The sequence below is a fragment of the Homo sapiens genome, chromosome 22 (assembly GCF_000001405.40).
Source record: "Homo sapiens chromosome 22, GRCh38.p14 Primary Assembly".
Classification (NCBI taxonomy): Eukaryota; Metazoa; Chordata; class Mammalia; order Primates; family Hominidae; genus Homo; species Homo sapiens.
Genome location: NC_000022.11, coordinates 42,698,077 through 42,721,902, shown reverse-complemented (window position 1 = coordinate 42,721,902; position 23,826 = coordinate 42,698,077). Strand labels below are relative to the sequence as shown.

General features: G+C 50.7%; 1 protein-coding gene across 12 annotated transcripts in view, besides 9 other annotated features; it reads left to right on the top strand.

Annotated features, from left to right (window-relative positions):
* A4GALT (alpha 1,4-galactosyltransferase (P1PK blood group)) overlaps window positions 602-23,826 on the top strand; it is a 29,181-nt gene continuing 5,956 nt past the window's right edge. For 6 of the 12 annotated variants that reach the window (XM_005261647.4, NM_017436.7, XM_005261644.3 and 3 more), the window contains exon 1: window positions 1,033-1,106. The gene's annotated coding sequence lies outside the window, so the exon portion shown is untranslated. Of the gene's footprint in view, window positions 739-1,032; window positions 1,483-3,316; window positions 3,667-8,331; window positions 8,695-23,826 lie in introns of those variants that run through there. The other 6 variants (XM_005261648.5, NM_001318038.3, XM_047441412.1 and 3 more) reach the window with 4 other exon arrangements.
* Window positions 934-1,123: a silencer, noted in NCBI's record as "silent region_13842". NCBI's record gives its function as "represses an Ori minimal core promoter by ATAC-STARR-seq in GM12878 lymphoblastoid cells {active_cell/tissue: GM12878}" and the evidence as "EXISTENCE:reporter gene assay evidence [ECO:0000049][PMID:35858748]".
* Window positions 1,154-1,383: a silencer, noted in NCBI's record as "silent region_13841". NCBI's record gives its function as "represses an Ori minimal core promoter by ATAC-STARR-seq in GM12878 lymphoblastoid cells {active_cell/tissue: GM12878}" and the evidence as "EXISTENCE:reporter gene assay evidence [ECO:0000049][PMID:35858748]".
* Window positions 1,464-1,593: a silencer, noted in NCBI's record as "silent region_13840". NCBI's record gives its function as "represses an Ori minimal core promoter by ATAC-STARR-seq in GM12878 lymphoblastoid cells {active_cell/tissue: GM12878}" and the evidence as "EXISTENCE:reporter gene assay evidence [ECO:0000049][PMID:35858748]".
* Window positions 10,154-10,283: an enhancer, noted in NCBI's record as "active region_19176". NCBI's record gives its function as "activates an Ori minimal core promoter by ATAC-STARR-seq in GM12878 lymphoblastoid cells {active_cell/tissue: GM12878}" and the evidence as "EXISTENCE:reporter gene assay evidence [ECO:0000049][PMID:35858748]".
* Window positions 14,430-14,641: a silencer, noted in NCBI's record as "fragment chr22:43103268-43103479 (GRCh37/hg19 assembly coordinates)". NCBI's record gives its function as "represses an EF-1alpha promoter that drives an FKBP-Casp9 reporter gene in an ReSE screen in K562 erythroleukemia cells {active_cell/tissue: K562}" and the evidence as "EXISTENCE:reporter gene assay evidence [ECO:0000049][PMID:32094911]".
* Window positions 18,595-19,094: an enhancer, noted in NCBI's record as "H3K4me1 hESC enhancer chr22:43098815-43099314 (GRCh37/hg19 assembly coordinates)". NCBI's record gives its function as "activates a minimal SCP1, AML or CMV promoter by ChIP-STARR-seq in primed H9 embryonic stem cells {active_cell/tissue: H9 hESC(primed)}" and the evidence as "EXISTENCE:reporter gene assay evidence [ECO:0000049][PMID:30033119]".
* Window positions 20,209-20,892: an enhancer, noted in NCBI's record as "H3K27ac-H3K4me1 hESC enhancer chr22:43097017-43097700 (GRCh37/hg19 assembly coordinates)". NCBI's record gives its function as "activates a minimal SCP1, AML or CMV promoter by ChIP-STARR-seq in naive H9 embryonic stem cells {active_cell/tissue: H9 hESC(naive)}" and the evidence as "EXISTENCE:reporter gene assay evidence [ECO:0000049][PMID:30033119]".
* Window positions 22,261-22,944: an enhancer, noted in NCBI's record as "H3K27ac-H3K4me1 hESC enhancer chr22:43094965-43095648 (GRCh37/hg19 assembly coordinates)". NCBI's record gives its function as "activates a minimal SCP1, AML or CMV promoter by ChIP-STARR-seq in primed H9 embryonic stem cells {active_cell/tissue: H9 hESC(primed)}" and the evidence as "EXISTENCE:reporter gene assay evidence [ECO:0000049][PMID:30033119]".
* Window positions 22,945-23,628: an enhancer, noted in NCBI's record as "H3K27ac-H3K4me1 hESC enhancer chr22:43094281-43094964 (GRCh37/hg19 assembly coordinates)". NCBI's record gives its function as "activates a minimal SCP1, AML or CMV promoter by ChIP-STARR-seq in primed H9 embryonic stem cells {active_cell/tissue: H9 hESC(primed)}" and the evidence as "EXISTENCE:reporter gene assay evidence [ECO:0000049][PMID:30033119]".

Genomic DNA, 23,826 nt, shown 5'->3' with positions numbered 1-23,826 from the left:
GAAGTAACAGCCTGTGATGGGAATGACCCAGGGAGAATGGAGAGAGGGCAGGGTTTCGGGATCAGTGTTGGCGTGAAGGGTCGGGATCTTCTGGAGGGGGTGGTCGTGGCCAGGAGCTGGACGGGTTCAGCCCGGTCCCAAGAGGGAAGGGACTGGGTGCTACCTCAGCGGGTGGGTGGGGGAGCTGGTGGGAATTTTCTACTGATTCCTTCATTCGAAGTGTATTTATTGGGCACCCATTGAGTGCCAGGCTCTTTCTCAGGGCTAGGATAGAGGTTCCATTTTCTCAGTGGCTTGGGCACTGGGTCATCAGCTGAGTGAGAGGATGGGCGTCAGCACTCAAGAAGTCACCCAATGGTTTCATTTTTTGCAGTCTTTGTTGTCCCAGAGGAGTAAGAACTAAAAGCACCAGGACTGTGACATGCTGGAAACATGGCATGTTCCAAAGAGAATAAAATACAGTTTTATGATACACGAATTGTGTGTGATACATTCCAATTTCTCACATTGAACAAATTACCAATAGCAATATGTGTGAAGATGGGGCGAGGTGAGAGTGAGGAGGAGGAGTAGAGAAAGGACGGGGCGGCGTTAAGGATACAGCAAATAACTGGAATTCCGCAAACACTGGGGTGATGCAGGCAATGCCCTTAGCACGGTCCCGGCAGGAGGCGGTGGGATCAGGCCGACCCGGGTCCCAGGGGTGACAGCGTCCCTTCTCCACTGCAGAATATCGAGGTACTCAACCCTCTGAACCTCAGTTTTCTCATCAGTTCAATGGGGAAAACGGGATGGTAACCCGTAATACTGGCGGCGCGGAGGCCGGGGAGCGCTCCCTACCTGTTGGCCGGCGGACTGGGGACTGTCCGCACCCGCCCCGGGGAGCAGCGAGGGCGCGCGGGCGGGGTCGCGGGGACCCCGCAAGGGCTCTGGGGACCGGGACCCGCAGGGTAGGTCGGGACGGGCGGGGCGGGGCGGCCTGACCCCGCCCCGGGCCGGAGGGGCGGTGCTGCCTCCCGCCGGGCCCCAGGCACTGCCCTCCGGCCGCCGCGCCGCCCGCCCGCCGGGGCCCCGCTGTCCGCCGCCCGCCGCCGCTGGAGCTAGAGGTACGAGGGGCCGCGCCGATGTTGCGGGGGACGGGGGCTCCAGGGGGATCCTGCGGCTCGCAGTGGGGAGGAGGCGCCTCGGGAAGGCAGGGGCAGGGGCGGAGGGGCTGGGCCGCCGCCCTAGCCCGGGCCACCTGTTCTGGAGGCGACATTTGTGCGCGCACGAACCCCGCGCGGCGGTCCCGGCCACCGCCTCCACCCCAACTGCGCCCCGAAGTGGAGCGCGGCGGCGGGACCCGGAGCCCCGGCCCTCGCGGGCAGGACGCGCCTGGCTCCGGAGCCCTCGAGGGCAGCCCCACCCGGTTGGGTCCCGGGGCTGGAGAGAGGGCGTCGGGGAGAAGCCGGGTTCGAGGCAGGCTCTGCCCGGCCACCGTGGGTGAGTCGCGCTCCTCCGTCCGGGGGAAGCCTGGGCGTCGGGCGGTGCTCGCCCCGGAGCGGATGCGACCGGGGACGGGGATGGAGAGCGGCCGGCAGGAGGGGGCTCTGCCGGGCTGGCAGCGTCGGCGCCGGCCTTAGGGAGGGTGAGGATTTGGACCTGCCCAGAAGCGGGAAGGGCCCTCCCCGTGCGGGAAACGGCCTGGGTACGAGCTGGGCACGGGGCGAGCCGGTTGGAGTCGCCCGGCCTCCGCGCTCGCCTCGGATCCGCAGGCGCCCCTCCCTCCTCTCCAGCTGGGGAAGGTTGAGGACTGAGCGGGAGCGGAACTGGGCTTGGGAGAGGATCTGCCGGGGCACCTGGTCCCAGCGCCCATCCCGTTTCACTGCCAGGGCGAGTCCCCTTCCCTCAGTTTCATCACCTGTCATCCGGAGGGACAAGTTCCCACCTGGATAGTCTCGGCTGAGCCTCTGGCCCTGAGTGGGTTAAAGCGCCATTTCCCCTGCACCCACCTTTCCCTCACGACACCCTCTCTGCGGCTTCCTCCCCTCCGCCAACGTCGAGTGATTGTTCCGCGAAGGCCCCTTGGGGTCACGTACCCTGCACTCAGCAAATAACCCCGAGCACCTGGTGGGTCTCAGGCCAGGTCTGGCCTTCCCGTTCCCGCCACCAGCTGCCCAAAGACTTCCCCTTTGTCACCTCCTCCCAAAGAATGAGGGAGCCACCCTGCCCAGGGTCCCATAGCAGAGTGCGGATGGAGCCAGGCCTCCCTCAAGATTTCCCACAGCCCTCTTCCAGCCTCAAACCTTCTCCAGGACCCGAAACCCTGCTACACTGTGTTTCCATAGCTGCAACCCCCCAAAAGAGGGTCCCCAAATCAAAGGAATACAAAGGAAAACAAAATAGAAAGGAAAAGAAAGGAAGAGGAGAGATGGAATCCTCTCTGTCATTAGTTTTCTGTTTGTTTGTTTTTTAGGGTCTCCCTCTGTCACCCAGGCTGGAATGCTGTGGCAGCTCACTGTAGTCTCAAACTGCTAGGCTCAAGCGATCCTCCCACCCCAGCTTCCCTAGTGGCTGAGACTGCAGGCACACACCACTACACCCAATGTTGTCATTAGTTTTTCTCTCAAACATTTTTCTAATGCCTTGGGTGCCTGTCGTTTCTTGTCTGCTAGGACAGCTCAGTATTAGAGGATAAACTCCAAAATGGACAGCCATCTACAAAATATGTTTTGTTTCCTTGTACTAATTGAAGCCCTCTAGCTGCTAGGTTAATGGGTCCATTAATTTCCAGTTCGTGTGATGGGCCCTGGGACCCCAGTGTGGAGCAGGATTGGCAGAATCTCCAGGTGGTTTGTGTGGAACACCAGGAGGTTGTGAACTACCACATCAGCCCCAGCTAGCAACTCCCAAGCCCACCTGGCCACGGGGCCACTGGGTTCAGACCTCCAAGGATGCAGTTCAGCTGGGGATGCAGGTCCCGGAAGGTGGTGGCAGGTGGACGGCCTCCACCACCAAGCCAGCCATCTGAGTTCTGAAGTGCACCTCCTCTCACTCTCCCCAGCTGCCTCCTTCTTTGGGGACCTGCTAGGCGTGCTCACAAACTCCTGTTGATCACCCTGCATTTTCATTGGCTCACCGCATGCTTCCCTCCAGATTGGAAGCTCCTGGAGGGAAGGACCCTTGTCCAGATCCCAGAGCCTAGTGCCAGGCCTGGCACCTAGCAGGTGCTTCCTGAATATTGTTTGAATGAATTAACCGAAAGAAGTAGGAAAAACAATTCCTGTTTGCATACTTGAAGACAACTATTGTTAACATTTGCCTTTTTTTTTGCCAGACCTTTAAAAACACGTTTTTCCAGCCGGGCGAGGTGGCTCACGCCTGTAATCCCAGCACTTTGGGAGGCTGAGGCGGGTGGATCACTTGAAGTCAGGAGTTCGAGACCAGCCTGGCCAACTTGGTGAAACCCCCCATCTCCACTAAAAATACAATAAATTAACTGGGCGTGGTGGCACGTGCCTGCAATCCCAGCTACTCAGGAGGCTGAGGCAGGAGAATCATTTGAACCTGGGAGGCAGAGAGTGCAGTGAGCCGAGATGGCGCCACTGCACTCCAGCCTGAGCAACAGAGCGAGACTCCGTCTCCAAAAATAAATAAATAAATAATAAAATAACACGTTTTTCTGTATTTGCATATCTTGTCTATATAAAATATTTTTCCATTAGTATAATTTCACGAGCATTCCTCATCGCAGACATTTTTTATATTTTTCAATGCTTGCATTTTGCTATGTCATGTTGAGTTATTGGATCTCTTGACTTTTTAAAAATATATTTGGCTCTTTTTGATAATGTTACATTGAATTTCTGCATACATTTATACATGGCCACATCTTTCCTGGGAAGGAATTAACCTGGTAATCAGTGCGTATGAACTTCTAGAATGGCTGTATCTGGACCCAGCTAGATATTTCTTCGTATTTCCTAGAAATGAAACTCCTGGGTCAGAGTACGAGAAGCCAGGTTCTTTGTGTGTTGCTTATTGATTGGTTTGAGCTCATCAGTAAGGTTTTACCCCTTGTCTGGTCTTTGTGTGCCAAGGATCTTTCCCCAGTTTATCATTTGGCTCTTATTTGTGGGTGTGTTTGTGCGTGCGTGGGTGTGTGTGTGGGTGTATGTCTGTGAGACAGAGAGATAGAGAGGAGCAGCAAGTTTTTTGTTTTACTTTATCTGTGTGTGTGCTTTCTGATGAGGGAGACTTGGCTGCATTTATGAGCTGATGGGAAAGCTAGAAGAGAGAGCTCAGCTCCCTCAGGCCCAGGAGAAGGAGGGACAGGTTGATAGGCTGAGGTCTCCGAGGACTGAGGAGGTGGGAGGATGCAGTGCTGCTCCCAAGGATCCTCCCGGGCTGGTGAGGACAGGAGGCAAGAGGGAGGGGCTTGGGGGACACTTGATGAATTGGCTTTGATCTTCCCCAGAGGGAGTTGGAAGTCAGCGGAGGGGAGGGCCCCAGTCTTTGGTGCTTCCTCCCTGGGAGGGAGCAGGTGTGAACACTCCCATTGATGACTACGCAGGGAGGAGAGAGCCTAGTTCAGGGTGAGTCCATGCAGGGCCAGGTTCAAAGCAGGCTGTCCACATACCAACCACAAGCCCTTGGGAATTGCTCTTCTCTCCGAGGCTCTGTTTCTTGTAGCTATCAGGAAGTGGCAGCTCTTTGAATAAGTGCCTTTTCCTCTCCCATCTGCCACCTTTGTCTTCCCTCTGGACATATCCTGGGGGTTCAGGAGCTTCCAGCTGTGCAGTTGGCCACAGGACTAGGGGAGCCCCCTTCCCTTCCAGACCAGTGTCCACATACCCTCCCCTGTGCCCACACACCTTCCCCTGTGCCCGCACTGTCACCCACCACAAGCCTACTCCAGCAGGAGCACCACAGCCTTCTGCGGTCACGCTGTGCAGTCAGCTGGCAGACAGGGAGCCAGGTGGACCAGCACATGAGAGCGAAACAGGAAGAGTGTCTGTCTTCACCTGTTTGAAAGTCATTGTCCCAGATATAGTTACGGGACCCAGAGAGCCCTGATCATCTGTGACCATCATTTGCTCCTTCCCCTTCAGGTGGGGGTAGGCCTCTACCCATTAAGCCAGACACTGTTACCTGACCTTACCAGACCCTCTCAGCCACCATGCTCTGTTATTCCCATTTTACAGACAAGGAGACTGAGTCTCAGAGTCAAGCACCTCCTCTTGGCCACAGTGAGATTGAGCCCCTAGCCCTGGTGCAGCCCCAGGCAAATGAGGCTGGGCCACAGGTAGACAGACCCCTTTCCCCCAGCAAAGGGTGTTTGAACCCCGCTCTGCCGCTGCCCAGCAGGCCTTGGTTTCCTCTACACTTACACTGTAGTTAATCATAAGAGGACCTGCCACACAGGATGGTGAGGGATTGAACAAGTCAAAGCAGGAAACCACTTTGACCAACGGCTGCACATGGTCAGTGCTCAGAAAATACACGCCATTGTTACTATTAAACCACACAGCTCCAGGCCTGACAGTGAGCTTTTAATAAATGTTAACTCAACACTGGAGAAGCCTTCTCACCCCGTCAGCAGTGCAAACAGAAACAACAGTGAGATCACATTTGCCACTCACCCCAGTGGTGGAGAGGATGGTCATGCACCCCACTCGCCCTCCTATGCCCTGGGAGAGCCTGTGGTGAGGCAAGTGTGCCCTGAGCCTGGAGTAGGAGTGGGAGAGAGCAGGTTAGGGCTCCATATCTGAAGATTTAAATTATATTTCTGAGGCCGGGCGCAGTGGTTCATGCCTGTAATCCCAGCACTTTGGGAGGCCGAAGCGGGCGGATCACCTGAGGTCGGGAGTTCGAGACCAGCCTGACCAACATGGAGAAACCCTATCTCTACTAAAAATACAAAATTAGCTGGGTGTGCTGGTGCATTCCTGTAATCCCACCTACTCAGGAGGCTGAGGCAGAAGAATCGCTTGAACGCAGGAGGCGGAGTTTGCAGTGAGCTGAGATTGCACCATTGCACTCCAGCCTGGGCAAAAAGAGCGAAACTCCATCTCAAAAAAAACAAAAAAAAAGATTGTATCTTTCCGGCCAGGTGTGGTGGCTCACACCTGTAATCCCAGCACTTTAGGAGGCTGAAGGGGGTGGATTGCTTGATTCCAGGAGTTACCTTTTTTTTTAAATATAATTTTTGAGATAGGTTCTTGCTCTGTTGTCTAGGCTGGAGTGCACTGGTGCAATCATGGCTCACTACAGCCTCAACCTCCTGGGCTCAAGCGATCCTCCCACCTCAGCCTCCTGAGTAGCTGGGACCACAGGCACCCTCCACCATTCCCTGCTAATTTTTTGCAAAGAAGGAGTCCACTTATGTTGCCCAGGCTGGTCTGGAGCTCCTGGGCTCAAGTGATCCTCACACCTCCACCTCCCAAAGTGCTGGGATTACAGGCATGAGCCACCTTGCCCAGCCCTGAATTACATTTCCTTTGACCCAGAGGGCTCACTTCTAGGAACCAATCCTATAGAAGTAATTAAGGACATGCTCAAAGATGTAAGTGATGGTTACCATGGTGTTGTTTATAAAAGCCAAAAAGATCAAAACATTTCCTATCTTGACCACATTTCTGGTGGTCAAGATAGGAAATGTATGAAATGAAGGCAGGAACTACCTTAAGGTGGGAGACAATGTTGCCTTGGAATTTATGGTATGAAGCTGTATTGCTCTCTTAGATCTCTAAGACGTAAGTCACACTGTAGCACTCCCAAAATCATCCCAATCAAAAGGCAAGTCCTTCAGCAGCTCTCAAGGCCCCCTGTGGCCCACCCTCCCCTTATCTTTCTGACCTCCTGTCCTGGAACCCCCCCACCCCACATACTCTGCTGTTTGCTCAGAACTCAGCCACACTCGCCCCTGGATCTTTGCAATCCCTGATCTTCCTCCTCCCTGAGTCACTTACTCCAGGGCCCCACAGTGTGTTCCCTGGCTTCCTTCAGGCCTCAGCGCAAATGTCCCCTTTTCAGAGCAGCACCCCCTAACCCAACTGTATGTAGTAGCCCCTGCCCCGCAGCCCATCTCCCTGAGTGCATTTTTCTCTTGGCACATTTTACCCCCTGATGTATTTCTTTATTTCTTTTCTTTTTCTCTTTCCTTTTCTTTCTTTTTTCCAGCCTGTAGTGCAATGGCACCATCTCGGCTCACTGCAACCTCCGCCTCCTGGGTTCAAGCGATTCTCAGCCTCCCGAGTGGCTAGGATTACAGGTGCCAGCCACCATGCCTGGCTAATTTTTGTATTTTTGGTAGAGACAGTGTTTCACCATGTTGGCTAGGTTGATCTTTTTTTTTTTTGAGACAGGACCTTGCTCTGTTGCCCAACCTGGTGTGCAGTTATGAAACCCTGGCTCAGTCTTCTGGGCGCAAACCATCCTCCTACCTCAGCCTCCCAAGTAGCTGGGACTACAGGCACATGCTAATTTTTGTATTTTTTGAAGAAACGGGGTTTCACTATGTTGCCCAGGCTGGTCCCGGACTCCTGGGCTCAAGTGATGCTCCCGCCTTGGCCTTCCAAAATTCTGGAATTACAGGAGGGAGCCACCATTCCTGCCTTTTTTTTTTTTTTTTTTTTTTTTTTTTTTTTGAGACAGAGTCTTGCTCTGTTGCCCAGGCTGGAGTGCGGTGGTATGAGCATAGCTCACTGCAGCCTCAGCCTTCTGGGCTCACGCAGTCCTCCCACCTCAGTTTCCTGAATAGCTAGGACTACCACCCCTGGCTAATTGTTTTATTTTTATTTTTTGTAGTGATGTGGTCTCCCTATGTTTCCCACGCAACTCTTGGCCTCAAGATTCTCCTGCCTCAGCCTCCCAAAGTGCTGGGATTACAGGCATGCGCCACTGTGCCTGGCCTCTGGCTAATTTTTTTATTTTTATTTTTTGTAGAGATGAGGTCTTCCTGCGTTGCCCAGGCTGGTATTGAACTCTTGGCCTCAAGATCCTCCCACCTCAGCCTCCCAAAGTGCTGGGATTACAGGTGTGAGCCACCTCGCCCAGTCAGCACCTGATGTCTGTCTGTCTGTCTGTCTGTCTTTTTTTTTTTTTTTTTTTTGACAGAGTTTCGCTCTTGTTGCCCAGGCTGGAGTGCAATGGCACGGTCTTGGCTCACTGCAACCGCCACCTCCTGGGTCCAAGCAATTCTCCTGCCTCAGCCTTACAAGTAGCTGGGATTACAGGTGCCCACCACCATGCCTGGCTAATTTTTGTATTTTTAGTTGAGGTGGGGTTTTGCCAGATTGGCCAGGCTGGTCTCGAACTCCTAACCTCAGGTGATCCACCCGCCTCGGCCTCCCAAAGTGCTGTGATTACAGGTGTGAGCCACTGTGCCCGGCCAGCACCTAATGTGTTTCTTCACTAATTTTCCCCTACTAGAATGTCAGCTCCATGAAGCCAAAGACAATCCTTCTCTTCCCTGTTGTACATATTCCCTGACCTTGGAGAGGGGCCGCCACAACATTGGCGCCCAGGCACTTGTTGGATGAACAGTCAAGGTGCGAAGGGCAGTGCTGGGGACTTGTCTGGTTTCTTTCCAGGATGACTTCTTGCACGAGGTTGAGCAGAAACTCTCACCTGTGAATTGTCACCTCCTGACTTGGTCTTCTGCACCCTTGGCCTTGACCCAAGGGGGCGGGTGGCATGGAGCCGCTCTAAGAGGTCAGTGATGTTGGCTTCTGATGGAATGGACAGAGGTGGTGCCAGGAGACCAGATTAGGAAGGCCTTTCTAGAAGGGTCCTAAGAGATTGTCTTTTCTCAGCTCTTTATTTTACAGATGAAGAAACTGAGGCTTAGAATTGAGGGGGAGGCTACAGAGCAGGGTGTAGAAGATAGACAGGCCCCTTCTCAGGCAGTATCCAGTTAGCAAAGGTGGTTAATGACAAGAACACGCAGTAGGTGATGCTGGGGGAGCGGGGGGAGAATGAGCACTCTCTTTTGCTACTATTTTTGTTGTAGTTGTTGTTTTATTGAGACGGAGTCACACTCTGTCGCCCAGGCTGGAGTGCAGTGGCTCACTGCAACCTCTGCCTCCTGGGTTCAAGCAATTCTCCTGCCTCAGCCTACCAAGTAGCTGGGATTACAGGCTTCCGCCACCACGCCCAGCCAATTTTTGTATTTTTAGTAGAGACAGGGTTTCACCCTGTTGGCCAGCCTGGTCTTGAACTTCTGGCCTCAAGTGATCCACTCACCTCGGCCTCTCAAAGTGCTGGGATTACAGGTGTGAGTCACCACACTCGGCCTTGCTACTGGTTATTTTTAATCTTTAAGACAGTAAAACAGGTGAAAGTGAAGCAATATGGAAACTTTCTTTCAAATAGAACGAACTCAGGACTCTTCTAACTCAGACCAAGATTTCTAGATGCCCTTTCCATGGGCATTGCATTTGCCAGGCAAGATTTCCCTGTGAAGAGCTTTCCCTGCGATTTGCATCTCTGGGATCTCTGCGCATAGCAAGTGACCAAGTCAGAAAACTTATCCACATCCAGGCAGCCTGGCACAACAGGATATCCCCACGTGTGCATGTGCGTGTGTCCAGAGCGAAGGTGTAAGAGCCCAGATTCAAGGTCACTCAGTGCTTTCGGAACTGAGATAAAACCCGGTGGAGGGGTTGCGGGGAATTTCACTCTGCCCCTGAGAAGCCAGCCCCACCCAGCCAGATCCAGCTTCCTGTGGGGAGCTAGAGTGACCCTGGGAGGGAAGGGTGGCCTCAGGGAAGGAAGAAAGGCGCTCTTGGGACTGGCAAGTAGTCAGGTACTTTACCATGAAGAGCTAAAGGCATGTGACTTGATTTGTACCTTCAAATAATGAGGCAGCTGTAATTTGCATCTGCGTAGAGTTTATAGTTTGCAAAGGGCATTTCCCAGGATTAGTTATCACATTTGATCCCGGCTTTGTGGGCAGGACTGGTATCATTTACTCATCCTTTCAAAAAAATACGTACTGAGACCAGTCACGGTGGCTCACGCCTGTGATCCTAGCACTTTGGAAGGCCGAGGTGGGTGGATCACTTGAGGTCAGGAGTTCGAGACCAGCCCGGCCAACATGGTAAAACTAAAAATACAAAAATTAGCCAGGCGTGGTGGCACGCATCTGTAGTCCCAGCTACCCGGGAGGCTGAGGCAGGAGAATCTCTTCAACCCAGGAAGTGGAGGTTGTAGTGAGCCAAGATCATGCCACTGCACTGCAGCCTGGGCAACAGAGCGAGACTCGGGGGTGGAAAAAAAAACAAAAAACAAAATACAGAAAATATGTATTGAGCACTTACTATGTGGTAGGATCTGTGCTGGCCCCAGGGGAGATGACTGAGTAAAAACAGCATTGGTCTCTGCCCATTTCCATGCTATCATTATATCATTGTTTATTTAATCAGCCTCTTCAAGAAAGACCTTGGGTTGTTTCTAATCTTTTGCAACTGCAAACCTGTGACCTTGTGCAAATGTCATTCATCTGTAGGATAAAGCCCCAGAGTGAGATAGATGTTGTTAAATTGCGGCTGAGCACTGTCTGCATGCCCACTGGCTGTGTATGAGCATGCCTGTTTGCTCACAGCCTTGCCAAAATAATGTGTTAAGTGTTTTGGATTTTTGCTGATCTGATATGTGAGAGATGCTATCTGAGTATGTCCATTTGCATTTCTATTACTTATAAAAAGATCCTTGCTCTAGCTTACTTGTTTAGAGGTCATATTTTGTATGTGTGTGAATTGTCTTTGGCCCATTTTGTTTTGGGGTGTTAGTCTTCTTATTGATTTCTGGGAGCTCTTTATATATTAGAAAAATTCGACTTATGTGATATGAGCTGCATTTAAGTTGTCCCAGGTTGTCACTTCTTTTTTTTTTTTTGAGACAGAGTCCTGCTGTGTCATCTACGCTGGAGTGCAGTGGTGTGATCTTGGCTCACTGCAACCTCCATCCCTCAGGTTCAAGCAATTCTCTCGCCTCAGCCTCCTGAGTAGCTAGGGTTACAGGTGTGCACCACCACACCTGGCTAATTTTTTTTGTATTTTTAGTAGAGATAGGGTTTTGCCATGTTGCCTGGGCTGGTCTCAAACTCCTGAGCTCAAGCCATTCACCAGCCTTGGCCTCCCAAAGTGCTAGGATTATAGGCGTCAGCCACAAGGCTGCATTGTTCTTATTTATTTATTTATTTATTTATTTATTTATTTATTTCGAGCTGGAGTCTTGCTCTGTTGCCCAGGCTGGAGTGAGATGGCACCATCTTGGCTTGCTGCAGCCTCCCCCTCCTGGGCTCAAACTATCCTCCCACCTCAGCCTCTCAAGTATCTGGGACCACAGGTGCATACCACCATGCTCCACTAATTTTTGTAATTTTTTGTGGAGATGAGGTTTCACCATGTTGTCCAGACTGGTCTTGAACTCCTGGGCTCAAGCAATCTGGCTGCCTCAGCCTCCTAAAGTGCTGGGATTACAGGTGTGGGCCACTGCACCCAGCCTCACATAGATGTTTAATATCTTTTGTTAAGTTTAACCCTGAGTATCGCGACTGTTGTTGTAAGCGGGGTCTTCTCTTTTCCCATACCTTCTAGTGACTTGTTATTTATATTTAAGTGTGTGTGTTTATACTACCATCTTTAGTTTTTACTTTTTCAATTATTTATCTTGACTTTTCCAGGTATACAATAATATCATATGAAAATAGCAATAGTTTTAACTATTTCTATTGCGTTTTCTTTCTTTTGTCAAATTCCTCTGATAAATACACCCAGTATAGTGATGGTGGTGGCAGCATCTGTGTCTTCCCTGAGCTTAGTATTAGTGCCCAGGTATGAAACTGTGTATTCGTACTCTCTGGAGTATGAAGCTGGTTCCTGGCTTCTGTGTTAATCTATATAATTTTGTTAAGGAAGTGTCCATTGATTCATAATTTACTAAGTGTTGGCTACTTTGTTAAATGTTTTTTGGTGTCACTGGGGATGATGATTTTTCTGCTTAGATCTATTTAATATGATGAATTATATTCATGATTTCCTAATTATGTTGAACCATCCTTGCATTCTTTGAATAAACCCCACTTGCATTCCTGAATCACCCCCATTTTTTTATTTTTTTTATTTTTTGAGACAGAGTCTCACTGTGCCACCCAGGCTGGAATGCAGTGGTGCAGTCTTGGCTCACTGCAACCTGTCCCTCGCAAGCTCAAGCGATTCTCGTATCTCAGCCTCCTAAGTAGCTGGGATTACAGTTGTGCCCCACCACACTGGGCTAATTTTTGTATTTTTAGTAGAGATGGGTTTTTGCCATGTTGGCCAGGCTGGTCTCAAACTCCTGTCCTCAAGTGATCCACCTGCCTTAGCCTCCCAAACTGCTGGGATTACAGGCACGAGCCACCGTACTTGGCCTCCATTTAATTTTAATGTGCTGCTGAATTCTATTTGCTTATATTTTATTTTGGATTTTTACAATAATATTCATAAGTGAAATTGGTCAGAAGGATATTCTGTGAAGCCGTTGTCAGGTTTTGGTTTAAGTATTTGCTTTACTTAAATTTTTTTTTTTTTTTTTGGCCTGGCACAGTGGCTCGTGCCTGTAGTTCCAGCATTTTGGGAGGCCAAGGCAGGTGGGAGCCTAGGAATTCAAGACCAGCCTGGGTAACACGGTGAAACCCCATCTCTACTAAAAATGAACCTGGTATGGTGGCATGTGCCTGTAGTCCCAGCTACTCAGGAGGCTGAGGTGGGAGGATCATGTACTTGAGCCTGGAAAGTAGAGGCTGTAAGTGAGCCATGATCGTGCCACTGCATTCCAGCCTGGGTGACAGCAGACCCTGTCTTAAAAAAAATATATATATATATATATATTTAAATTTTCCTTTCTATATGTTCCTGTTTAACAGTTTAAACATTATCTGTTATTTCTGAGTTTTCCAGGATTCCCTCCCAAAATGTTTTGCCCTGGTGCTTTTGTTTTGTAATGGTAGTCCTTTTATAATTCTGTTTCTAATGTGGAAGTTGTCCTGTGTAGATTAGCTATGTCTTCTGGGATCCATTTGATTTATTATTTTTGTCCAGAAATTATTTTATTCAGGTTTTAAATTTTATTTGCTAAGTACTATCTTATTTTTTAAAACAATTATCTGCTTATTTGGTTATTTTCCCATTTAGCGTTTCCTAGTTTGTATGGGAAGCTTTCTCCCCACCCTCCTATCTTGATTAGGTTAGTTGGTGGTTGTATATTTTATTGGCTTTTTTCCAACAAGCCAGCTTTTTACCTTATTTATTAGTTCTACCGCTTATTTCTTCCCTAATTGATTTCTTTTCCTTCCTTCCTTCCTTCCTTCCTTCCTTCCTTCCTTCCTTCCTTCTCTCTTTCCTCTTCTCAAAACAGGGTCTTGCCGTGTCATACAGGCTGAAGTGCAGTGGCACCATCATGGCTCAGTGCAGTCTTAACTTCCCAGGCTCAGGTGATCCTCCTGAGTAGCTGGCACTGCAGGTACACACCACCACACCTGGCTAAATTTTTTTATTTTTTGAGAGGGAGTTTCGCTTTTGTTGCCCAGGCTAGAATGCAATGGCGCGATCTCGGCTCACTGCAACCTCCTTCTCCTGGGTTCTCCTGCCTCAGCCTCCCAAGTAGCTGGGATTACAGGTAGGCGCCACCACACCCGGCTAATTTTGTATTTTTAGTAGAGATGGGGTTTCTCCATGTTAGTCAGGCTGGTCTTGAACTCCCAACCTCAGGTGATCTGCCTGGCTCAGCCTCCCAAAGTGCTGGGATTACAGGTAGGTGCCACCACACCCGGCTAATTTTGTATTTTTAGTAGAGATGGGGTTTCTCCATGTTAGTCAGGCTGGTCTTGAACTCCCAACCTCAGGTGATCTGCCTGGCTCAGCCTCCCAAAGTGCTGGGATTACAGGCGTGAGCCACCGCACCCAGCCTTTTTTTTTTTTTTTTGTAGTGACAGTCTCACTGTGGTGCCCAGGCTGGTCTCAAACGATCCTCCCACCCCAGCCTCCCAAAATGCTCTGAGATTACAGACAGGAGCCACCATGACCAGCCATGTTTCTGTGTTTTATTTTGTGGTTCTTTTTCTAACATTTTTAAACTGGTGCTTTATTTATTTTTATCCTTTCTGTTTTAATTGTTACATACACTGGTGGCTAAAAATATCCTGATCATTGCTGTAGCTGTATCCTGTAGATATGGATACTTGGTGTTTTGGTATTTGTTGGTGGTGGTGGTGTTATATTTTGAGAAAGAGTCTCTCACTCAGTCATTCAGGGTAGAAAATGATGATGCAGTTTCAGCTCACTGCAACCTCTGCCTCCCATTCAAGCAATTCTCGTGCCTCAGCCTCCCGAGGTAGCTGGGACTACATGCATGTGCCACCATGCCTGGCTAATTTGTTGTATTTTTAGTAGAGACTGGGTTTCACCATGTTGGCCAGGCTGGTCTCAAACTCCTGTCCTTAACTGATCCGACTGCCTCGGCCTCTCAAAGTGATGGGATTACAGGCATGAGCCACCATGCCCAGCCTGGTGTTTTTATTATTTTTATTTGCTAGGAATCCCATAGATAAAATTTTTTAAAAAATTCCCGATTTTTAAATTAATTTCTAGTCATATTGCTTCATAATCATAAATTTTTAAAATATTTTTTGGATGTTATTGACATTTTCTTTGGACTGAATATGGTCAGATTTCATGACTGTTCCATCAGCTCAGCTCTTGAAAAGAAAGCACAGTATCTATCACTAGGGTAGAGAGTTTGAAATATTATAGTACCTTACTGATTATCTTATTTGGGTCTTCTGAATTCTTATTTCTGTTCATGCTACTTAATGTTTCTTGAACTGAAAGTGGTAAATTAAAATCTCTTATTAGTGTTTTGATATATTTATCCTAGTATCTGTAATTTTTCTATTCTGAAAATTGCTACAGTATTATTTGATGCATTATGAATTATACCGTTAGCATAATAAATTGCCCTTCTTTGGCTAATTTAGTGAGGTTTGTTGTGATTTTGCATCATTTTATATTAAGATTTTTGCCCCAGCATTTTGTTTGCATTTGCTTTTATATCTTTGCTTGTTCTTTTTTTAATTTTTTTTTTTTTGAGATGGAGTCTCACTCCATCACCCAGGCTGGAGTGCAGTGGCGTAATCTTGGCTCACTGCAACCTCCGCCTCCCAGTTTCAAGTAATCCTCCTGTCTCAGCCTCCCAAGTAGCTGGGACTACAGGCACCTGCCACCATGCCCAGCTAGTTTTTGTATTTTTAGTGGAGAACGGGTTTCACCTTGTTGGTCAGGCTGGTCTCGAACTCCTGACCTCAGGTGATCCACCCGTCTTGGCCTCCCAAAGTGCTGAGATTACAGGCGTAAGCGACCGCACCCGGCTGTTCTTATATTTTTAACCATTCTAAGTTACTTCGTTTAAGGTATGTCTCTTGAATAGAGAATAGAGATAGGTTACAGGTTATGCTTGAAATCTAATCTAAAAATCTTTTTCTCCTTCAAGATTAGTGGGTGAAACTTTTTTTTTTTTTTTTTTTTTTTGGGATGGAGTCTCGCTCTGTCACCCAGGCTGGAGTGCAGTGGTGTGATCTCAGCTCACTACAAGCTCTGCCTCCCGGGTTCACACCATTCTCCTGCCTCAGCCTCCCGAGTAACTGGGACTATAGGTGCCCGCCACCACGCCTGGCTAATTTTTTGTATTTTTAGTAGAGACGGGGTTTCACCGTGTTAGCCAGGATGGTCTCGATCTCCTGACCTCGTGATCCGCCCGCCTTGGCCTCCCAAAGTGCTGAGATTACAGGCGTGAGCCACCGCACCCGGCCAACTTTTTTTTTTTTTTTTTTTTTGAGATGTAGTCTGTGTCACCCAGGCTGGAGTGCAGTGGTGCGATCTTGACTCATTGCAACCTCCACTTCCCAGGTTCAAGCGATTCTCCTGCCTCAGCCTCCCGAGTAGCTGGGATGACAGGCACACATTACCACGCCTGGCTAATTTTCGTATTTTTAGTAGATACAGGGTTTCACCATATTGGTCGGGCTGTAATTTTTGTATTTTTAATGGAGATGGGGTTTCACCTTGTTGGGCAGGCTGGTCTCCAACTCCAGACCTCAAACGATCTGCCAGCCTCGGCCTATTAAAGTGCTGGGATTACAGGTGTGAGCCACCGCACCTGGCCTGGAATTACTTTTTAAAGTGTTTTTATTTTTAAATTCATGCTGTAATTTTGGATTCGAATTTGTATTTGTCTTGTGCCAGTATTTTCTTCTTTTTCTTTTTCTTTTTCTTTTTTTTTTTTTTGAGACAGAATCTCTGTCGCCCAGGCTGGAGTGCAGTGGTACGATCTCAGCTCACCACAGCCTCTACCTCCTGGGTTCAAATGATTCTCCTGCCTTGGCCTCCCAAGTAGCTGGGACTACAGGCACGCGCCACCATGCCCAGCTAATTTTTTGTATTTTCAGTAGAGAGAGGGTTTCGCCCTTATTGGCCAGGCTGGTCTCGAACTCCCGACCTCAAGTGATCCACCCACCTCGGGCCCCCAAAGTGCTGAGATTACAGGCATGAGCCATTGCGCCCGGCTGTGGCAATATTTTCATAGTGAATTTTCTTTATATATAAGCGAGTATTTGTGCTCCTCACCCCCGTTTCCATTTTGTTTTATGCCTTTAAATTTTTTTCCATATTTGAATTAGTTGAATTTTCCTGGAGTGGCAATTAACAGGAGGTTTTGGTGGAAATTGGGAGAGAAGCCAGGACAGTTCTCTGGGTTTCTCTGGTGAAAGGCTCCCTCCTCTGTTGCCATGGTAATGGGTTGTGCTTTTTAAAGTATGGCCTTTCTCTGCATCCACTCCTCTTTCACCTCCAGAACCTAACCTGTCTCAAGAGGTCACTTGCCTCCAGCCCTGAGTACTCCCAGTTCATTCTGGCCGTAGCTCATGCCTTCTGCCATCTCCCTTTTAGAAGTGGCCTTTTCTGGGGTCTTCCACTCTTGAGCTCCCCCGCCTCCGCCGCCCCCCCCCGCCCCCCCCCATTGCCATGTCTGCTGCCCGCAGGTGCTTTGGGCCACACTCAACTGTGGTTGGGAGTTTGCGGGTTTTCCCTGCCTCTTAGTTTCTCTCATTTGTCTTTACCCATGTTGCTTTGTATAATTTGGTAGAAGAGGGAAAATTCAGAACTAAGCTGCTGCCTTATTCCTCCTGGAATGAAGTCCACCTCCCTGAGTTTTCTGTTTGTAACGTCCACCCAGACAGCAAGACCGCCTGCTTGATTCCTGGCTTCTGAGGTGTTAAAGGCCTGGGAGGAAGAATATTTTGTAACCTCTGCTCCGAAAAGAGCCCTTCTGCCCTTCTTACAAACAGCCCTTCAGCCCTTCTTTTTTTTTTAATTTTTTTTATTATTTTTTTTATTTTTTGAGTCCAGAGTCTCACTTTGTTGCCCAGGCTGGAGTGCAGTAGTGCAACCTCAGCTCACTGCAATCTCCGCCTACCAGGTTTAAGCAATTCTCCTGCCTCAGCCTCCTGAGCAGTTGGCATTACAGGCATGTGCCACCATGCCCAGTTAATTTAATTTTTGTATTTTTTAGTAGAGATGGGGTTTCACCATATTGGGCAGGCTAGTCTTGAACTCCTGACCTCATGATTTGCCCACCTTGGCCTCCCAAAGTGCTGGGATTACAAGCATGAGCCACTGCGCCTGGGCACAAACAGTCCTTCTTATACCAATTACTTCCTCCTAAAAACTGTCATTCTTACTTCTTGGGTAGAAATATTATATTTATTTGTGCCTTGAAAGATTGTGGGGCTAGGGATGGGGAACAGGACACTTGGTCCTCCAAGCAGGGTTTGGAAGCTCTGGGCATTGAGTTTTCACATCAAGGGGGGTCTGAGTTCCAAGACCAAGGAGCCCACCCCCTCCTTTGATGGACAAAGCAGTGAAGGCCCAGGGAGGGGCAGAGGTGGGTCCAAGGTCACGTTGCCAAATCTTAGCAGGTGCGGAAGCTGTCAGGCAGGGCCTGGATTTGAATTCTGTACTCGGTGCTGTTTCTTGGCTCTGTGGCCTTCTGCCCCAGATCCCTCAGAGTTCTTGGCGCCTCAGGTCTGTGCTAAGGTGTTACTTATCCCATGCAGTTAGCAGCAGGTGCCCATGTGTCCCGCCAAGGTTAGAGCATTTGGTTAGCCTGCACCCTCCCTTCCCCGCACTGTGCAGAAGGGAATCTGAGGCCCAAAAAGGAAAGTGACCTGTCTAAGGTCACACTGCAAGTCATCTTCCCGACATCACTGCTGAGTGGGCCAAGGACAGCTTCCTAGTTCTGCACTTTCAGAGTTTGCAAAACACTCCTTATTGCAGGCCGGGCACAGTGGCTCACACCTGTAATCCCAGCACTTTGGGAGGCCGAGGCCAGTAGATCACGAGGTCAGGAGTTCAAGACCAGCCTGGCCAAGATGGTGAAACCCCGTCTCTACTAAAAATACAAAAATTAGCCAGGCGCGGTGGCAGGTGCCTATAATCCCAGCTACTCGGGAGGCTGAGGCAGGACAATCACTTGAACCCGGGTGGCAGAGGTTGCAGTGAGCTGAGATCGTGCCACTGCACTCCAGTCTTGGCAATAGAGTGAGACTCTGTCTCAAAAAAAAAAAAAACAAAAACAAACAAACAACAAAAAAAAAGCCCACTACTTATTTATTTAATACATGTGGTTGAGCCCTAGGCTGGGCCTAGTCTCTGCCCCCAAGGCATTCACAGCCTGGTGGGGACAACACACACACACACACACACACACACACACACACACAGTGGGGCAGCATGCTCTCTCTCACACACACACACACACACACACACACAGCAGGGCAGCATGTGCCAGCCAAGGCTGCAGTGTGGAGGGCAGAGGTGCTGCGGCCAGCGGACCACACTGTGATGTACCCCGGCCTGAGTGCCACTGTGGCCCCTTTACTTTTCTGAAAGTTAAACAGGGGAGCAGGGACCGGGATTGGCTGGAGTAATCCCCGCATCCCTCACTGGGGGTCAGGCTGAGCTAAGACAACCTGCCAACCCCATTATTTGGGCCAGGACCGCCTGACTCCACCAGGTGCGTCCTCGGCAAGTGAAGGAACCCGGTGGGCGTTCCACCTTATCTGCACGAAGGCTCCGGACCCTTTGTCTCCCACTACGTCCCCTCCCCAAAACCACCCAGTTCCAGTGAGTCCAGGTGTCCTCTTCCTGGCAAGGGGGCTCCCATGCCAGTTGGGGGTAAAGAGTGTGTTTCAGCCGGACACGGCGGCTCACGCCTGTAATCCCAGCACTTTGGGAGGCCGAGGTGGGCGGATCACCCGAGGTCAGGAGTTCCAGAACATCCTGGCCAACATGGCGAAACCCCGTCTCTACTAAAAATACAAAAAAATTAGCCAGACATGGTGGCGCACTCCTGTAGTACTTGGGAGGCTGAGGCAAGAGAATCGCTTGAACCCGGGCGGCGGAAGTTGGCAGTGAGCCGAGATCGCACCACTGCACTCCAGCCTGGGCGACAGAGCAAGACTCCATCTGTGAAAAAAAAAAAAAAAAAAGAGTGTGTTCCTCTGGTGGGGGAGCCCCTTTTTCCGGGGGGGGACACAAGTCCTCAACAGCGGCTGCACATCTAGGTGCCTTCAGTCCTGTGAGCCCGGCCCTGGCCCTCTCTGTCTCCTGCCATTGCAGCCCCACCCCTGATATGATGTTGTGGGGTCAGGGACCAAGAAAGGCATCCCGGTGTCTGCTGAGGGGGATGAGGAGAGAGAAAGGAGAGAGAGAGAAAGAGAGAGAGAGACACCAACCTGGAGTGGCAGGAGGGAGAGAAAGAGGGGAGGGACAAGGAGTCCCAGGGAGAAAAAGCAGGAAGAAGACACTGATCAGGGGGATGAGACATTCATTGGTCGATTGAGGAGGTCATCAGAAGGTTCCGTCATTGACTTCTGGGCTATCCTTTCCTCTTGTGTGGACTACGTAGGGTGGGATCCACGTGTCATGACAGTGTCACGTGGGTCTCTGTCTCCTTCCCTTGGCTCTGCTTGCCTCAGGGCTGGCTTCATTACCAGGCAGCCTCTACCTTGACGGTTCCTGGCTCACACCTAGTGACCCCATGGGAAGCACATACCTCTGCTTGGACCTGACTAGGTTCTGTGTGCCTCAGCCGGACCACTGCGGCCAGGGGAATGTGGTACTATCATTAGCTGGACCTGAGTCAGTGCTTATGGCAACAGCCAGGGAGCAGGGCCCACAGGCAGGGGTGGCTCCCCACAGGACAGCAGGTGTTCTCAGGAGGATGAATGGGTGCAGGGTAGGTAAACCTAGATGACCCCTCTGCCTCCACTGCAGAACAGCAGTGCATGTGACTTTTCTCCTTTTTCTCCTGCTGCGGCGGGAGCATTCTTTATGGAGCTGCTATGTTAGTGATGTTCAAAGCCACATGTGACCTTAGGGTCATGGGGACTCTGGAGAAGGTAGTGGGAGAAGTTTCCTTTCTACCTCACCCTGGCCAGGGGTCCACCTCGGGCTCCTGTCTGAGTCTGGGATCCAGCTGAGCCCTGACCACACTTAATCCCCACAGCAACCTGTGTCCTGGGTGCTGGTGTTACCCCTGTCCACAGACAGGTTCAGAGAGGTGGCCTGTCTTGTGGGCACGTGGCAGGGCCAGGAAGGAAGCTCAGGTATGTTGGTGCAGGCCGTTGTCCTCCAGGCCTGGCCACATAAAGTCCTGCTCAGGAAGGAAGCCGTGAGGCAACGAGCTGGGAGACCCTGGGGGTGAAGCCCACCTTGGTCCCTGTCTGACCAGGCAAGGGTGGAGGTGGGTGGGGAGGGGACCCGATTTGGCTCCACTAGAGGCAAGTATGACCATGGGACAGGGATGGCAGGCTCTCACCATCCAGTTGGTGACAGCTGTGGGACTGGGAGCATGATAAAGAGCATGCTACGTCCTGGCTGCATGTCCCTGCTTCCTGACCTTAAACACTATCCTGAGTGGTCCTTCACTTCCAGCCCCATCAGAGACTTCTGCACACAGATACCCACCAGTTCCCCTGCCGGAGGAAAGGCCTATAATGCGATGGCCGTGGCCACATCTGTTGAGGGCCTGTTCCGTGGGCTGGGCCCTGGAGATGCATTGCCTCCCTCCATCCCTCCAAAGTGGAGTTAATCCCATTTTGTGGGCAGAGAGACTGAGGCTCCGAGGAGGAGCATGGCCTGACTGCAGTCACATGGCTGGTGACACAGTGGGAGCACCCGTGTGACCCTGGCGCTGGTGTCTTACACCTCAGGGGTCTGGGGTCACAATCACAGGTCAGCAGGGGTGGCCACACCCCAGCCTGGCCACGCACAGGGGCCAGCTCCTTATCTGGAGAGGCTTGGAAGCCACAGCAGTATCCAGTCGTGGTCACTGATGCGCCCCACCTTGGCCACTGCTGGGCCTGCTTCTCCCCACTTCCCACCTTTGAATGAGCTGCTGGCCTCCCACCACCCGACCGTGGCTTTGCTCCTGGAGTTCCAGTTCCTGGGCCCTCTTGTTGAGACCCCAAGAACATGAGAAGAGTGGAAATAGCCTCTGGCTCTCCTGGAGGGCCATTCCTCATCTCATCAGTATCTGTTGAGCTCCTGCTGTCGGCTGAACCTGTGTCAGCACCAGGAACAGAATGAGAGCGAGGAGCCCCTGCCCCTTAGGACTGACACAACGGAAAACACATACAATCATTTCCAGGGGACGAGGGCTGCGCTGGGCGCGGTGGCCCCATCTGGTCCCACCATTGAGCCCTGGAGCCCCCGTCTCCTGGGTAGATTGCCCCCTACCTCGGGAGCAGCCCATCCCCAGTGACCCACTGCGGGCCAGTGTTGGTGTAGGCCCCTGGGTTAGTCGGGGTTCTCCAAATTAACAGAACCAGTCGATGAGAAGATGAAATAAGACATCCTCTCTCAGCTCAGCAGTGAGGCAGGAGAACGGGGGCGAATTCCTCCGTCCTCAGCCTTTCCTTCTACTCAGGGTTGGGGGCCCACCCACACTGGGGGCCATCTGCTTCCTGAGTCTGCCATTCGAATGGTAATCTCATCTGGAAACACCCCCAGACACACCCAGGAGTAACGTTTAATTGGGGCACCCTGTGTCCTGGTCAAGTTGACACATGAAATTAACCATCATAGCCCCGACTGTGGTTTGGAACAAACATCTCTGATGGCCACCCCAGCTGCAGAGCTCCTATGGGACTGGCCGAGGCCCCTGTGGCAATGACAGCCTCACAGCTCAACATCTCCCTCTGTGCAGTCCTGCGTCCCTTGCCCTCACAGGAACTCAGAGCCCTCCCCTTGCCCTGCATGGGGCTCTCCAAGTCCTCAGTCAGCTCCCCGGGCCAGGCCCATGACCAAGGGCATTGAAGGAAATGTCGAGTGATGTGACCGAGAGTGACAGGAGGGTCGTGGCCACTCACACCAGGGGGCAAGAAAATTCAGGATGAGTCCGCAGTGCAAAGTGAAAGCAAGTTTACTAAGATTGTAAAGGAGCCGGGCGCAGTGTCACATGCCTGTAATCCCAGCACTTTGGGAGGCCGAGGTGGGCGGATCACTTGAGGTCAGGAGTTCAAGACTAGCTTGGCAAACTTGGTGAAACCAAATCTCTACTAAAAATACAAAAAATCAGCCGGGCATGGTGGCACATGCCTGTAATCCCAGCTACTCAGGAGGCTGAGGCAGGAGAATTGCTTGAAACCAGTAGGAAGAGGTTTTAGTGAACCGAGATCGGGCCATTACACTCCAGCCTGGGCGACAGAGCAAGACTCATAAAAAAAAAAGAAGGTAAAGGAATAAAAGAATGGCTACTGCATAGAGCAGCCCCTAGGGCTGCTGCTTACCCATTTTTATGGTTATTTCTTGATGATATGCTAAACAAGGGGTGGATTATTCATGCCTCCCCTTTTTAGACCACCCAAGGTAACTTCCTGACGTTGCGATGGCATTTGTAAACTCACGGTGCTGGTGGGAGTGTAGCAGAGAGGACGACCAGAGGTCACTCTTATGGCCATTTTGGTTTTGGTGGGTTTTGGCCGGCTTCTCTACTGCAACCTGTTTTATCAGCAAGGTCTTTATGACCTGTATTTTGTGCTGAACTCCTATCTCACCCTGTGACTTAGAATGCCTTACCCGTCTGGGAATGCAGCCCAGTAGGTGTCAGCCTCATTTTACTCAGCTCCTATTTAAGATGGTGTTGGTCTGGCTCACACGCCTCTGACACCTTTGCCTCTCGGGGCCTCTGTGTTCCCGTCAGGACATCGGAATCTCCAAGGGCATAACCCTGGTGCTCTGGGAGCCTCTCTGTCAGCACTCAGCCTGGATGGAGGGCTCAGTGCGGACTCCGTTTTGTTGGGTCATGGTTGGCCAGTGCTAGGCTGAGCTGGGCTGGACACAGGGCTGGAGGGGTAGCGCCCTTACTGTAGGGACAGGTGGGGGTGCAATTTGTGTAGGGATGAAAAGCACCAGCTTGGAGGGCCTTTTCTAGGCCCTTGGGCCTAGCCCCTGATGCTGATGCCCCTAGTTGGGGTCTGCAGAGCTGGTGCCAAGAACCTGGCTGGTAGGGGTCTGACCCAGCCTTTGGCCTTCTGTCTCCATTGCCCTGCACCTCTCGATTTTTTTTTTTTTTTTTTGAGACGGAGTCTCGCTCTATTGCCAGGCTAGAGTGCAGTGGCACGATCTCAGCTCACTGCAACCTCTGCCTCCCGAGTTCAAGCGATTCTTCTGCCTCAGCCTCCTGAGTAGCTGAGACTACAGGCGTGCACCATCATGCCAGCTAATTTTTGTATTTTCAGTAGAGATG